Below are 15,344 nucleotides of genomic sequence, written 5' to 3' on the forward strand. Positions count from 1 at the left end.
GCATTCAGTCTAGCCAAAATAAGGGTAAGGGTCACTAGGCCAATTATATGGACATGTCTAATTTTACTCCCTTTCAAGGCCCTCACTAAAATTACATGGAGATTAAACATTATTAATACCACCAGCAGAAGACAAGCATTCAAGGGAAAACAAGAAAGGATACAACAGCAATAAACTATTGGAAGATGGAAACAGATAGGCAAGACTTAGGACTTAGCCAGCCAGAGAAAATCATTCCAAGCCAACAGTGGGAAAGCTGAGAACCCCTTGGACTCATACCATAAATCCTCAAAAGGCTTGAGAACTGACAGTGCCCGTTAGGAGTGCTCTCCTCAAAGCCTAACTAGGAAAGACCTAAAGATGCCAAGGCTAGAATTCTCCTTCAGAAATAGAAAGGAGAGGGACCCGGGAAACTGGGAGCCTTACCCAAGCGTAAAGCATAGGGAATTTCAAGGAAGACAGCAAGGGGAAGTTCCAGAATGGAACTGTGCATCCAGTCTAGAGGAAAAAAATGGGAGGAATTATCAGTAGGTACAAGGAAAACTAAGCAGATGAAATACAGCAGTCTTCCCTTCTCAGCAGTTTATCTTTCTGTGGTTTTGGTTACCTGCAGTACAGTACAAAAAGATATTTTGAGAGAGAGGCATAGAGCACATTCACATAACTTCTATTATTATATATTGTTGTAATCTATTATTAGTTATTGTTAAGCTATTACTATGCCTACAGACTTTATTATAGATATGTATGTTCAGACAGTCTGGTTTGACTTAAGGTTTTTGATTTTACAATTGTGCAAAAGTGATACACATTCGGAAGAAACTGTACTTACAGTCCTCATACAACCATTTCTGTTTTTCACTTTTAGTACAGTATTCAATAAATTACATGAGTTATTAAACACTCTATTATAAAATGGGCTTTGTGTTAGATCATTTTGCCAAACTGTGGGCTAATGTAGTTATTCCAAGCACATTTAAGTTAAGCTAGGCTAAGCTATGCTGTTTGGCAGATTAGGTTTACAAATGCATTTTCAATTTACAATATTTCAACTTACAATGGGTTTATCAGGAAATAACCAAATCGTAAGTTGAGAAGCATCTGTCTAGGAAAAAAAATAGTATATACAGGGTTCAGTACTATCCTCCGTTTCAGGCATCCACTGGGGGTTTTGGAATGTATCCTCTGCAGATAAGGGGAGACTATTGTAAAATAAGGAAATTATTAGGCCAAGGCGGGCAGATCACGAGGTCAAGAGATAGAGACCATCCTGGCCAACATGGTGAAAACCTGTCTCTACTAAAAATACAAAAATCAGCTGGGCGTGGTGGCACGTGCCTGTAGTCCTAGCTCCTCGGGAGGCTGAGGCAGGAGAATCACTTGAACCTGGGAGGCAAAGTTGCAGTGAACCGAGATCGTGCCACTACAGTCCATCCTGTGACAGAGCGAGACTTCGTCTCAAAATAAATAAATAAATAAATAAATAAGGAAATTACCTGTTTAAAAAAAAAGAGACACGACCATAGTACATTACAGTGCTCAGCTGTGAATAATAATTGTATAGACATCATCATGTATTTAACTAAAAGCTATAAATATGGAGAAAGGGAAGTAAGAGGAAAGAGCAACGTTGAAAGAGTTAATTTCCCATTTTTCATAACATGAAGTCAATGAAGTCTAAATCAATGTAGCAAAACACAGCAGTGTATATAAATATGTAGAAATAAGGAGATTTATAAATCATAGAAGGTTATAGGGAAGAGTCCAAACCGATTGTATATGGAGTGATGAACACAGAAAAGTGGGGAGGGTGGGGCCCAGGAACCACTAGGTTTTGTTATAGGCCATTTAATAACATTTAACTCTGAATCATGCACATGCATTACTTTGATAAAAATAAAAAACTAAAGCCAAAAAAGAGAAATGAATTGGAGAATGAGAATGATTTTTTTCCAACAACTCATTTTAGGATGGGATAAAATATGTTTAAGATTTTCAACCCCATTCTACTGATTCAAGAAGTCTGGCTCAATACCTGACGTTGGAATTTACTAGGTACTGGGAACATATCCCAGATACTGGATATGAGCCCCAAGAGATATTGGAAAGTGTTTTCAGTGTTTATTTGCATGCATTTGTATCATTTCGTTGTCTTGTTAGGAGGAAGTGAGAGGACCATCCTGTTACTTTTACTAAACTAAATCATTGTAAAAACCTACCTTAATAGTAGGAAGCTCTGCCCCCTAACAGGAATGGCCTAAAAGCGCATAAAAATTCACCAGGGCTGCTGCTTCCTACAGCCATTGTGGGGGAAGTCCTGACAATGACACAAACAGAACAAACAACAGTGAGCATCTGGCTACTGCTGTTTTGCCTTGGGCCCTGCAATAGCTCTCCCTCCTCACACTGCCCATTTCCACTACGCATAAAAGAAAAATCAGTTTATTAGAGGTCTCAGGATTAGTTCTTGGAGTAGAAGCTGAATTTTAAAAGAGGATGTCACGGAATGATATAGCCAAGCTAGATTCAGGACAGATTTGGTAATAGAGTGGCTGGCTAAAGAGATGAGGAAAAGATAGTCTGTGTGTTTTTTCCTGTGTGTATATTTGTAATATCCTCTGTCTGTAGTACAAGTTCATCCAAGATTTTATTTAAAGTATCTTTTTTATACTCGGGAAATGTATAAAGCCTCATACCTAATTTAATGGATATGAAATTTTTATTGACAATACTGTGGATTACTTTGCTATTCTTGAAAACCCACATTCAAATTTTATTTAACAATTAATTTTAGCCGAGGGAGTTGTATTATTTTCCAACGGAATTTGAAGTATGTGACCAGCCAATCTAAGTCATTCAGACCAAAGATTAAAAATTTCAGCCAGGCACAGTGGCTCATGCCTGTAATCCTACCACTTTGGGAGGCCAAGGCAAGTGGATTGCTTGAACCCAAGAGTTTGAGACCAGCCTGGGCCACATGGCAAAATGCTGTCTCTGCAAAAAAAATACAAAAATTAGCCAGGTGTGGTGGTGCATACCTGTAGTCTCAGCTACTAGGAAGGCTGAGATGGTAGATTACCTGAGCCCAGGGAGATCCAGGCTGCAGTGAGCTGTGATCATGCCATTGCACTCCAGCCTGGGCAACAGACTGAGACCCCATTTCAAAAAAAGAAATTTCAGGATTTTTTCACTAATTATATAGACTATAAACCTCAAAGATCACGGGCTGATGGAATTTGTCAGTACTTCATAGGGAGCTGTGCACAGAGGGGAATTTAATGCATGCAGTTGGTGGTAATAGTGGTGACCTCAACTGTTGGTTTTATTTAGCTGGTACAAAAAACAGAATCAAGCATTTCATTGCCTTTTGTGCAAATTACAGCTGTGTTTTTCTGTTGAACACTTAACAGAAATGTTACAGTGTGAAAGCTATAAACGAAGGATGATGGCCGTCATGTCCTTGGAAGTAATTTGCTTAGCAAATGATCAATACTGGAGATGTATTTTGGATGCAGGTGATGCAAACTCTATTAATAACTTTTTATGCTATTTTATGTAGAGCTATATTTTATTCATCAGTCATTTTTAAATATATTTTTAATTGTAAAGGAAAAATTTTAGTTGATTTTCAGTTTCTTTTGCTAAGATCACTTCATTTACCTGTCAACCATATATTTTATTTTCCACATGGAAGCTGCACAGGATCAAAAAACTTTATCAATTCTATTTGTCTAAAAGCTCGAAAAATTAAAAAATAATGTTAAGTGTTAATTTAAATGTTAAATTACTTTACCACACTACTTTTATACTTACTTTCATTTAGAAATTATTCCTATTCTGTAATTTGCACAATTTACTTTTGAAATTAAAAATAGCAGATTTAGTGTCAGGTCTGGTTTGTAACTACCTCTGCATTTAGAACTTAAGAAAATTGCTTAACCTCTCTTAGTTTACTTTACTCACTAATAAAATGGCTCTACTGGGGTCCGTTCCAAGATGGCCAAATAGGAACAGCTCCGGTCTGCAGCTCCCAGCATGATCGGCGCAGAAGACAGGTGATTTCTGCATTTCCAACTGAGGTACCTGCTTCATCTCCCTGGGACTGATTGGACAGTGGGTACAGCCCATGGGTGAGCTGAAGCAGTGCAGGGCATCGCCTCACCTGGGAAGCACAAGGGGTTGGGGGATTTCCCTTTCCTTGCCAAGGGAAGCTGTGACAGACTGTACCTGAAAAAACGGGGCATTCATGCCCAAACACTGTGCTTTTCCAATGATCTTAGCAAATGGCACACCAGGAGATTATATCTCGTGCCTGGCTCGGCAGGTCCCACACTGATGGAGCCTTGCTCACTGCTAGCGCGGCAGTCTGAGATTGACCTGCGAGGCAGCAGCCTGGCAGGGGGAGGGGCATTCGCCACTGCTGAGGCTTGAGTAGGTAAACAAAGCGGCCGGGAAGCTTGAACTGGGCAGAGCCCACTGCAGCTCACCAAGGCCTGCTGTCTCTGTAGACCCCACATCTGGGGGGGCAGGGCATAGCTGAACAAAAGGCAGCAGAAAATTCTGCAGACTTAAATGTCCCTGTCTGACAGCTCTGAAGAGAGCAGTGGTTCTCCCAGCATGGTGTTTGAGTTCTGAGAATGGACAGACTGCCTCCTCAAGTGGGTCCCTCACCCCCTTGTAGCCTAACTGGGAGACACCTCCCAGTAGGGGCCGACTGACACCTCATACAGGCGGGTGCCCCTCTGGGACGAAGCTTCCAAAGGAATGATCAGGCAGCAATATTTGCTGTTCTGCAATTTTTGCTGTTCTGCAGCCACTGCTGGTGATTTCTAGGCAAACAGGGTCTGGAGTGGACCTCCAGCAAACTCCGACAGACCTGCAGCTGAGGGACCTGACTGTTAGAAGGAAAACTAACAAACAGAAAGGAATAGCATCAACATCAACAAAAAGGACATCTACACCAAAACCCCATTTGTAGGTCACCAACATCAAAGACCAAAGGTAGATAAAACCACAAAGATGGGGAGAAACCAGAGCAGAAAAGCTGAAAATTCTAAAAACCAGAGCACCTCTTCTCCTCCAAAGGATTACAGCTCCTTGCCAGCAACAGAACAAAGCTGGACAGAGAATGACTTTGATGAGTTGACAGAAGTAGGCTTCAGAAGGTCGGTAATAACAAACTTCTCTGAGCTAAAGCAGGATATTCGAACCCATCACAAGGAAGCTAAAACCCTTGAAAAAAGATTAAATGAATGGCTAACTAGAATAAACAGTGTAGAGAAGACCTTAAATGACCAGATGGAGCTGAAAACCATGGCACGAGAACCATGTGAGGCATGCAAAATCTTCAATAGCCGATTCGATCAAGTGGAAGAAAGGGTATCAGTGATTGAAGATCAAATTAATGAAATAAAGCGAGAAGTTTAGAGAAAAAAGAGTAAGAAGAAATGAACAAAGCCTCCAAGAAATATGGGACTATATGAAAAGACCAAATCTACGTCTGATTAGTGTACCTGAAAGTGAAGGGGAGAATGGAACCAAGTTGGAAAACATTCTTCAGGATATTATCCAGGAGAACTTCCCCAACCTAGCAAGGAAGGCCAACATTCAATTCAGGAAATACAGAGAACACCACAAAGATACTCCTCGAGAAGAGCAACCCCAAGACACATAATTGTCAGATTCACCAAGGTTGAAATGAAAGAAAAAATGTTAAGGGCAGCCAGAGAGAAAGGTCAGGTTACCCACAAAGGGAAGCTTATCAGACTAACAGTGGATCTCTTGGTAGAAAATCTACAAGCCAGAAGAGAGTGGGGGCCAATATTCAGCATTCTTAAAGAATTTTCAACCCAGAATTTCATATCCAGCCAAACTAAGCTTCATAAGTGAAGGAGAAATAAAATCCTTTACAGACAAGCAAATCCTGAGAGATTTTGTCTCCACCAGGCCTGCCTTACAAGAGCTCCTGAAGAAAGCACTAAACATGCAAAGGAACAACCAGTACCAGCCACTGCAAAAACATGCTGAATTGTAAAGACCATCGATGCTAGGAAGAAACTGCATCAACTAATGGGCAAAATAACCAGCTAACATCATATGACAGGATAAAATTCACACACAACAATATTAACTTTAAATGTAAATGGGCTAAATGCCCCAATTAAAAGACACGGACTGGCAAATTGGATAAAGAGTCAAGACCCATCAGTATGCTGTATTCAGGAGACCCATCTCATGTGCAGAGACACACATAGGCTCAAAATAAAGGGATGGAGGAAGATCTACCAAGCAAATGGAAAGCAAAAAAATAGCAGGGGTTGCCATCCTAGTCTCTGATAAAACAGACTTTCAACTAACAAATATTAAAAAGGAGACAAGGGCATTATATAATGGTAAAGGGATCAATGCAACAAGAAGAACTAACTATCCTAAATATATATGCACCCAATACTGGAGCACCTAGATTCATAAAGCAAGTTCTTAGAGACTTACAAAGAGACTTAGACTCCCACACAATAATAGTGGGAGACTTTAACACCCCACTGTCAATATTAGATAGATCAACAAGACAGAAAATTAACAAGGATATTCAGGACCTGAACTCAGCTCTGGACCAAACAGACCTAATAGACATCCACAGAACTCTCCACCCAAATCAACAGAATATACATTCTTCTCAGCACCACATCACACTTACTCCAAACCTGACCACATAGTTGGAAGTAAAGCACTCCTCAGCAAATGTAAAAGAAAAGAAATCACAACAAACTGTCTCTCAGACCACAGTGCAATCAAAATAGAACTCAGGATTAAGAAACTCACTCAAAACCACACAACTACATGGAAACTGAACAACCTGCTCCTGAATGACTACTGGGTAAATAACGAAATGAAGGCAGAAATAAAGATGTTCTTTGAAACCGATGAGAACAAAGACACAATGTACCAGAATCTCTGGGACACATTTAAAGCACTGCGTAGAGGGAAATTTATAGCACTAAATGCCCACAAGACAAAGCAGGAATTGGCCAGGCATGGTGGCTCATGCCTGTAATCCCAGAACCTTGGGAGGCTGAGGCGGGCGGATCACGAGGTCAGGAGATGGAGACAATCCTGGCTAACACAGTGAAACCCTGTCTCTACTAAAAGTACAAAAAATTAGCCAGGCGTGGTGGTGGGTACCTGTAGTCCCGGCTACTTGGGAGGCTGAGACAGGACAATGGCATGAACCCCGGAGGCGGAGCTTGCAGTGAGCCAAAATCATGCCACTGCACTCCAGCCTGGGCGACAGAGTGAGACTCCATCTCACAAAAAAAAAAAAAAAAAAAAGAGAGAGAGAGAGAAACCAGGAAAGATCTAAAATTGACACCCTAACATCACAATTAAAAGAACTAGAGAAGCAAGAGCAAACACATTCAAAAGCTAACAGAAGGTGAGAAATAACTAAGATCAGAGCAGAACTGAAGGAGATAGAGACACAAAAAACCTTCAAAATATCAATGAATCCAGGAGCTGGTTTGTTGAAAAGATCAACAAAACTGATAGACCACTAGCAAGACTAATAAAGAAGAAAAGAGAGAAGAATCACATAGACACAAGAAAAAATGATAAAGGGGATATCACTACCAACCCCACAGAAATACATACTACCATCAGAGAATACTATAAACACCCCTACACAAATAAACCAGAAAATCTAGAAGAAATGGATAAATTCCTGGACACATACAACCTCCCAAGAGTAAACCAGGAAAAAGTTGAATCTCTGAATAGACCATTAACAGGCTCTGAAATTGAGGCAATACTTAATAGCCTACCAACCAAAAGAAGTTCAGGACCAGACGGATTCACAGCCGAATTCTACCAGAGATACAAAGAGGAGCTGGTACCATTCCTTCTGAAACTATTTCAGTCAATAGAAAAAGAGGGAATCCTTCCTAACTCATTTTATGAGGCCAGCATCATCCTGATACCAAAGCCTGGCAGAGACAAAACAAAAAAGAGAATTTTAGACCAATATCCCTGATGAACATCGATGCAAAAATCCTCAGTAAAAAACTGGCAAACTGAATCCAGCAGCACATTAAAAATCTTATCCACCATGATCAAGTCGGTTTCATCCCTGGGATGCAAGGCTGGTTCAACATACGCAAATCAATAAATGTAATCCATCACATAAACAGAACCAACGACAAAAACCACATGATTATCTCAATAGATGCAGAAAAGGCCTTTGACAAAATTCAACAGCCCTTCATGCTAAAAACTCTCAATAAACTAGGTATTGATGGAATGTATCTCAAAATAATAAGAGCTATTTATGACAAAGCCACAGCCAATATCGTACTGAATGGGCAAAAATTGGAAGCATTCCCTCTGAAAACTGGCACAAGACAGGGATGCCCTCTCTCACCACTCCTATTCAACATAGTGTTGGAAGTTCTGGCCAGGGCAATCAGGCAAGAGAAAGAAATAAAGGGTATTCAATTAGGAAAAGAGGAAGTCAAATTGTCCCTGTTTGCAGATGACATGATTGTATATTTAGAAAACCCCACTGTCTCAGTCCAAAATCTCCTTAAGCTGATAAGCAACTTCAGCAAACTCTCAGGATACAAAATCAATGTGCAAAAATCACAAGCATTCTTATACACCAATAATAGACAAACAGAGAGCCAAATCATGAGTGAACTCCCATTCACAATTGCTACAAAGAGAGTAAAATACCTAGGAATCCAACTTACAGGGGATGTGAAGGACCTCTTCAAGGAGAACTACAAACCACTGCTCAATGAAATAAAAGAGGACACAAACAAATGGAAGAACATTCCATGCTCATGGATAGGAAGAATCAATATTGTGAAAATGGCCATACTGCCCAAGGTAATTTATAGATTCAGTGCCATCCCCATCAAGCTACCAATGACTTTCTTCACAGAATTGGTAAAAACTACTTTAAAGTTCATATGGAACCAAAAAAGAGCCCACATTGCCAAGACAATCCTAGGCAAAAAGAACAAAGCTGGAGCAATCACGCTACCTGACTCCAAACTATACTACAAAGCTACAGTAACCAAAACAACATGGTACTGGTACCAAAACAGAGATATAGACCAATGGAACAGAACAGAGCCCTCAGAAATAACACCACACATCTACAACCATCTGATCTTTGACAAACCTGACAAAAACAAGCAATGGGGAAAGGATTCCCTATTTAATAAATGGTGCTGGGAAAACTGGCTAGCCATATGTAGAAAGCTGAAACTGGATCCCTTCCTTATACCTTATATAAAAATTAATTCAAGATGGATTAAAGACTTAAATGTTAGACCTGAAACCATAAAAACCCTAGAAGAAAACCTAGGCAATACCATTCAGGACATAGGCATGGGCAAGGACTTCATGACTAAAACACCAAAAGCAATGGCAACAAAAGCCAAAATAGACAAATGGGATCTAATTAACCTAAAGAGCTTCTGCACAGCAAAAGAAACTACCATCAGATTGAACAGGCAGCCTACAGAATGGGAGAAAATTTTTGCAATCTACCCATCTGACAAAGGGCTAATATCCAGAATCTACGGAGAACTTAAACAAATTTACAAGAAAAAAACAACCCCATCAAAAAGCGGGCAAAGGATATGAACAGACACTTCTCAAAAGAAGACATTTATGTAGACAACAGACACATGAAAAAACGCTCATCATCACTGGCCATCAGAGAAATGCAAATCAAAACAACAATGATATACCATCTCACACCAGTTAGAATGGAGATCATTAAAAAGTCAGGAAACAACAGATGCTGGAGAGGATGTGGAGAAATAGGAATGCTTTTACACTATTGGTGGGAGTGTAAACTAGTTCAACCATTGTGGAAGACAGTGTGGCGATTCCTCAAGGATCTAGAACTAGAAATACCATTTGACCCAGCAATCCCATTACTGGGTATATACCCAAAGCATTATAAATCATGCTGCTATAAAGACACATGCACACATAGGTTTACTGTGGCACTATTCACAATAGCAAAAACTTGGAACCAACCCAAATGTCCATCAATGATAGACTGGATTAAGAAAATGTGGCACAGATACACCATGGAATACTATGCAGCCATAAAAAAGGATGAGTTCATGTCCTTTGCAGGGACATGGATGACGCTGGAAACCATCATTCTGAGCAAACTATCACAAGGACAGAAAAGCAAACACCACATGTTCTCACTCATAGGTGGGAATTGAACAATGAGAACACTTGGACACAGGGTGGGAAACATCACATACCAGGGCCTGTTCTGGGGTGGGAGGCAGGGGGAGGGACAGCATTAGGAGAAACACCTAGTGTACATGACAAGTTAATGGGTGCAGCAAACCAACATAGCACATGTATACCTATGTAACAAACCTGCACATTGTGCACGTGTACCCTAGAACTTAAAGTATAATAAAAAAATAAAATAGTTCTACCCCATAGGATTGTTTTGAGAATAGCACTGTCCAGAATAACTTTCTGAAATGATGAAAATGTTCAGTTGGGCATGGTGGCCCATGCCTGTAATGCCAGCACTTTGGGAGGCCAAGGCAGGAGGATAGCTTGAGCCCAGGAGTTTGAGACCAGTCTGGGCAGCATAGTGAGACCCTGTCTTTGTCTTTATCTATATCTATCTATATATCTATCTGTCTGTCTATCTGTCTGTCTAGCTATCTATCTACACACAGACACACACACACACACACACACACACACACACACAAAGAAAATGTTCTATTTGAAAATGTCCAATATGGTAGCCACTACCCTAATGTGGTTATTGAACTCACGTGAGATGCTCCAGAAATATTAAATGAATAAATTAAAATTTGATTGATCATAGATAGTCCCCTGATATGTTCCTGAAAACCTGTACAAAAAGCTCTGTATCCAAAAGGTGAACTTAAAGAAGTCATGAGGGATGTTTCATTTCAGACAGCTAAATAAATAAGGTCTTTATTATATCTATTATATTTTCTGTCATTTTGTGCATGTCCTATAAGGTGCTTTCTATTTATCATTAAATTGATGTAAGTATAACAGGCATCCACCTGAAGCCAGATTTTCTATTTTCTTTTTTTTTTTTTTTGAGACGGAGTCTCGCTCTGTCGCCCAGGCCGGACTGCGGACTGCAGTGGCGCAATCTCGGCTCACTGCAAGCTCCGCTTCCCGGGTTCACGCCATTCTCCTGCCTCAGCCTCCCGAGTAGCTGGGACTACAGGCGCCCGCCACCGCGCCCGGCTAATTTTTTGTATTTTTAGTAGAGACGGGGTTTCACCTTGTTAGCCAGGATGGTCTCGATCTCCTGACCTCATGATCCACCCGCCTCGGCCTCCCAAAGTGCTGGGATTACAGGCGTGAGCCACCGCGCCCGGCCTATTTTCACTATGGCTAATTTCTATCTTTGAGCCTATTGTAATTAATGAGACTAATGTTGCATTTTACTAGATTCAGCACTTTTTGTTTTTCACATCCTTGTATAAAATAAGGATAAAATATAATAAAATACTCAAATAATTGCATAAGCAGTGCCATGCGAAGTTGATGCAATAACCAAAACTGACCTGTACCATATGGTAGCACAAAGAATTTATTTATCAATAATCTGAAGCCAGAATTCAGTGTTTCAATGGTGGCTTAAGGTTACTAATATAAAATGTTTGATCATGCTCTGTGAAAATCAAATGTATGAACAATGAGAGCTGCCCATACCAAAGACAAGATGGAAGGTTTCTTCATGTAGTTTCAAATGATAATTTTATAAATATTTTATAGAATTATTTCATAATTATTTATATTGCAATGCCCATAAATATTATTTAAATATTGCCATGATAAATTGACTACAAATGGTTACCAATAATTCATGCTTTTTAATTTTTTTGCTCTTGTCATTACAGGCACCATTCCTGCCTTAATCAATCTATTAAAAAGTTCCAAAATAAAACTGCAGTGCAAAACTGTTGGGTTATTGAGTAATATCTCAACCCACAAAAGTGCAGTGCATGCTTTGGTAGAAGCGGGAGGCATTCCATCTCTAATCAACCTACTGGTTTGTGATGAGCCTGAAGTACACTCTCGCTGTGCTGTCATTCTATATGATATTGCTCAATGTGAAAACAAGGATGTTATTGCCAAATATGTAAGTTCCTTTCATATACAATTATTTTTGACTGACAATAACTCCCTCATATAGAAGTTACAAAAATAGAAACCCACGTTACTATTCAGTGACAAAACTCTCAGGGAAGAATACAGCAGGGAAAAGGGAGAGAGGGTGCCTGATGAAAACTCCACCGAAAAGTTGGCATTTGAGTACGGTCCAGAAGTAGATGAGGGAGTATTTTCATAAGTTAGTGTATGTTGATTGCTTCTTGCTGTTTACCAATTACAGTGCAGTGTCTACAATGGCAAATATTTCCTAATGGGGCAATATATTCAATTAATCTCATTTGCTTCACTTAGATAGCTATATTAACTGTCACATAATGTATCTTATCAGTAGACACATTTGTTTGTGGCACTCATTCTCTCCCAAATAGTTATTTACAGCAAGAAAGATTACAGACTTGTGTTTCTTTTTTTCTTTTTTTTTTTGAAACAGTCTTGCTCTGTCACCAGGCTGGGGTGCAATGGTGCAATCTTGGCTCACTGCAACCTCTGCCTCGTGGGTTCAAGTGATTCTCCTGCCTCATCCTCCCGAGTAGCTGGAACTACAGGCACGTGCCACCACGCCTGGCTAATTTTTGTATTTTTAGTAGAGATGGGGTTTCACCATGTTGGCCAGGATGGTCTTGATCTCTTGACCTTGTGATCCGCCTGCCTCGGCCTCCCAAAGTGCTGGGATTACAGGCGTGAGCCACCACTTCCGGCCAACTTGTATTTCTAAATAAAGATTACATTTATCTTAAACAAATTCAAATGTAATTTTTTTTGTTTATTTTTAGAATGGAATCCCAAGCCTGATAAATCTATTGAACTTAAACATAGAAAATGTGCTAGTAAATGTAATGAACTGTATACGGGTATTGTGTATAGGAAATGAAAACAATCAAAGAGCTGTGAGAGAACATAAAGGCCTCCCATATCTTATCAGATTTCTGAGTTCTGATTCAGGTGAGCTTCTATCTCTGTATTATTTTATAATGACCAGATATATTAAGTGAAGCAAACATGGGATTGGACTTGTCCTATATGAATAGATGTCCCGAATCTGTGTTTGAATAGATCTAAACGTGTAATATAACCTTAATATCCAAAACACAATTTATTTATTTTTCCTAACTGCTAAACTATGTAGATACAGTTAAATTTATTTATATTTTATTTTTCTCAAGACAGAGTCTCAGTCTGTCGCCCAGGCTGGAGTGCAGTGGTGTGATGTCAGCTCACTGCAAACTCCGCCTCCCGGGTTCAAGAAATTCTTCTGTCTTAGCCTCCTGAGTAGCTGGGATTACAGGCATGCACCACCACGTCCGGCTAATTTTTGTATTTTTAGTAGAGACAGGGTTTCACCATGTTGGCCAGGCTGGTCTCAAACTCCTGACCTTGTGATCTACCCGACTCAGCCTCCCAAAGTGTTGGGATTACAAGTATGAGCCACCATGCCTGGCAGATAATGATTAAATTTAAACTGCTGGGCTTATAAAAATAATTGACTCTCAAAGGCATATTCTTTAAAAAAGTTTAATTAGACATGTTTATCAATGGAAATATTGGCATGGATGATTTTAAAAATACATATAATATGCCTAGGAGAGTATATGCTACCTTGGGTGAATAGTACATATTGATAGTAACATATTGATCATGGGTAGCTATTTTGCAAGTGACAACAAGGGCTTCAGATTTGTTAGATATTTGACGTCAAAATTCAAGGTTATCAGGAAGCATTAGGCCAATTATCAGTTCCTAAAGTGCGTCTCAGTACCAAGAACATCAAAAGCCATGAGGCAGTTTCAGCAGCTACTGCAAATGGTCTCCTGGGTTCTGTAAGAATAATTTCATTCCAGTTAGCACATTTAACAGGTAAGTTCCAAATATACGGTTTTCCCCAAATTTGGGGGAAGAGAAAATTGAGAAGAACTTGCTCATTTTCTTCCTGCTCAGTATATCATTTGGCTTCCTCTTCCAGTTCACCAGGAATAAATACAAAATAAATATATTGGTTAAATGTAAGTCAAGATTAAGAATAAGGGGAATGTAGAAGCGATCTTTCCTTTACTTTAAAACTTCAAATTTAAGCAAGTGTCACTTTCTAAGAACCTCTATCGTGTGGTGACATCATTTGAAAGCCCTCTTCCTTCATAACAAATTCCTTATGCTCTCTCTGTTCAAGTGTTCTTCCATCGCTTACTATGCTCTACTTTATCCTTTAAGAATAGCATCAGAGGCCAGGCGTGGTGGCTCACACCTATAATCCCAGTATTTTGGGAGGCTGAGGCAGATCACCTGAGGTCAGGAGTTCGAGACTGCCTGGCCAACATGGTGAAACCCTATCTCTACTAAAATACAAAAATCAGCTGGGTGTGGTGGTGCACGCCTGTAATCCCAGCTACTTGGGAGGCTGAGGCAGGAGAATTGCCTGAACCCGAGAGGCGGAGGTTGCAGTGGGCTGAGATTGTACCACTGCACTCTAGCCTGGGCAACAGAGCGAGACTCCATCTCAAAAAAAAAAAGGAAAAAAGAATAGCATTAGAGAGGGTCAGCTTTTATGTATATTTTAAACATATAATTTTTACTCATTTATAGTCATTCTTTATCTCTTTTTTTGTTTGTGTTTTATCTAACTAATTAAAATTTAAAGATAGGGACTAGGTCTTCTCTTTCTGTTTTCCTTTTCTCAATCCCAGATGCTGTAACAAAGTACAAATTGTAGCAACAATTTGAATAAATAAATAATAAATGAGTTCATGAAAGAAAACTATAGCACCGGGTGTGGTAGCTCACGCCTGTAATCCCAGCACTTTGGGAGGCCAAGGCGGGTGGATCACAAGGTCAGGAGATCAAGACCATCCTGGCCAACATGGTGAAAACCTGTCTCTACTAAAAATACAAAAAAATTATCTGGGTGTGGTGGCGCGTGCCTGTAATCCCAGTTACTTGAGAGGCTGAGCAGGATAATCGCTTGAAGCTGGGAGGCAGAGGTTGCAGTGAGCCGAGATCATGCCACTGCACTCCAGCCTGGCAACAGAGAGAGACACTGTCTAAAAAAAAAAAAAAGAAAAGAAAACTATAGTATGAAATAAATTATTGAAATAAAAGTATTTTTTCCTACACCATAATCTACATTATGTCCTCACTCCAAGGAA

At 39.8% G+C, this 15,344-nt stretch overlaps 1 protein-coding gene across 24 annotated transcripts in view; it reads left to right on the top strand.

Annotated features, from left to right (window-relative positions):
* Nucleotides 1–15,344, top strand: part of ANKAR (ankyrin and armadillo repeat containing) — an 88,390-nt gene that overhangs the window by 32,969 nt on the left and 40,077 nt on the right. For 22 of the 24 annotated variants that reach the window (XR_922865.3, XR_001738640.2, XM_011510676.3 and 19 more), the window contains 3 exons: nucleotides 3,411–3,515; nucleotides 11,934–12,175; nucleotides 12,981–13,149. Coding sequence is in view for 22 of the 24 variants with exons in the window: in XM_011510676.3 (XP_011508978.1) it covers nucleotides 3,411–3,515; nucleotides 11,934–12,175; nucleotides 12,981–13,149 (516 nt within the window). In the remaining 2 variants the exon portion in view is untranslated. The remainder of the gene's footprint in view (nucleotides 1–3,410; nucleotides 3,516–11,933; nucleotides 12,176–12,980; nucleotides 13,150–15,344) is intronic. The other 2 variants (XM_011510675.3, XM_024452719.2) reach the window with 2 other exon arrangements.

Source organism: Homo sapiens, chromosome 2, assembly GCF_000001405.40.
Source record: "Homo sapiens chromosome 2, GRCh38.p14 Primary Assembly".
Classification (NCBI taxonomy): domain Eukaryota; kingdom Metazoa; phylum Chordata; class Mammalia; order Primates; family Hominidae; genus Homo; species Homo sapiens.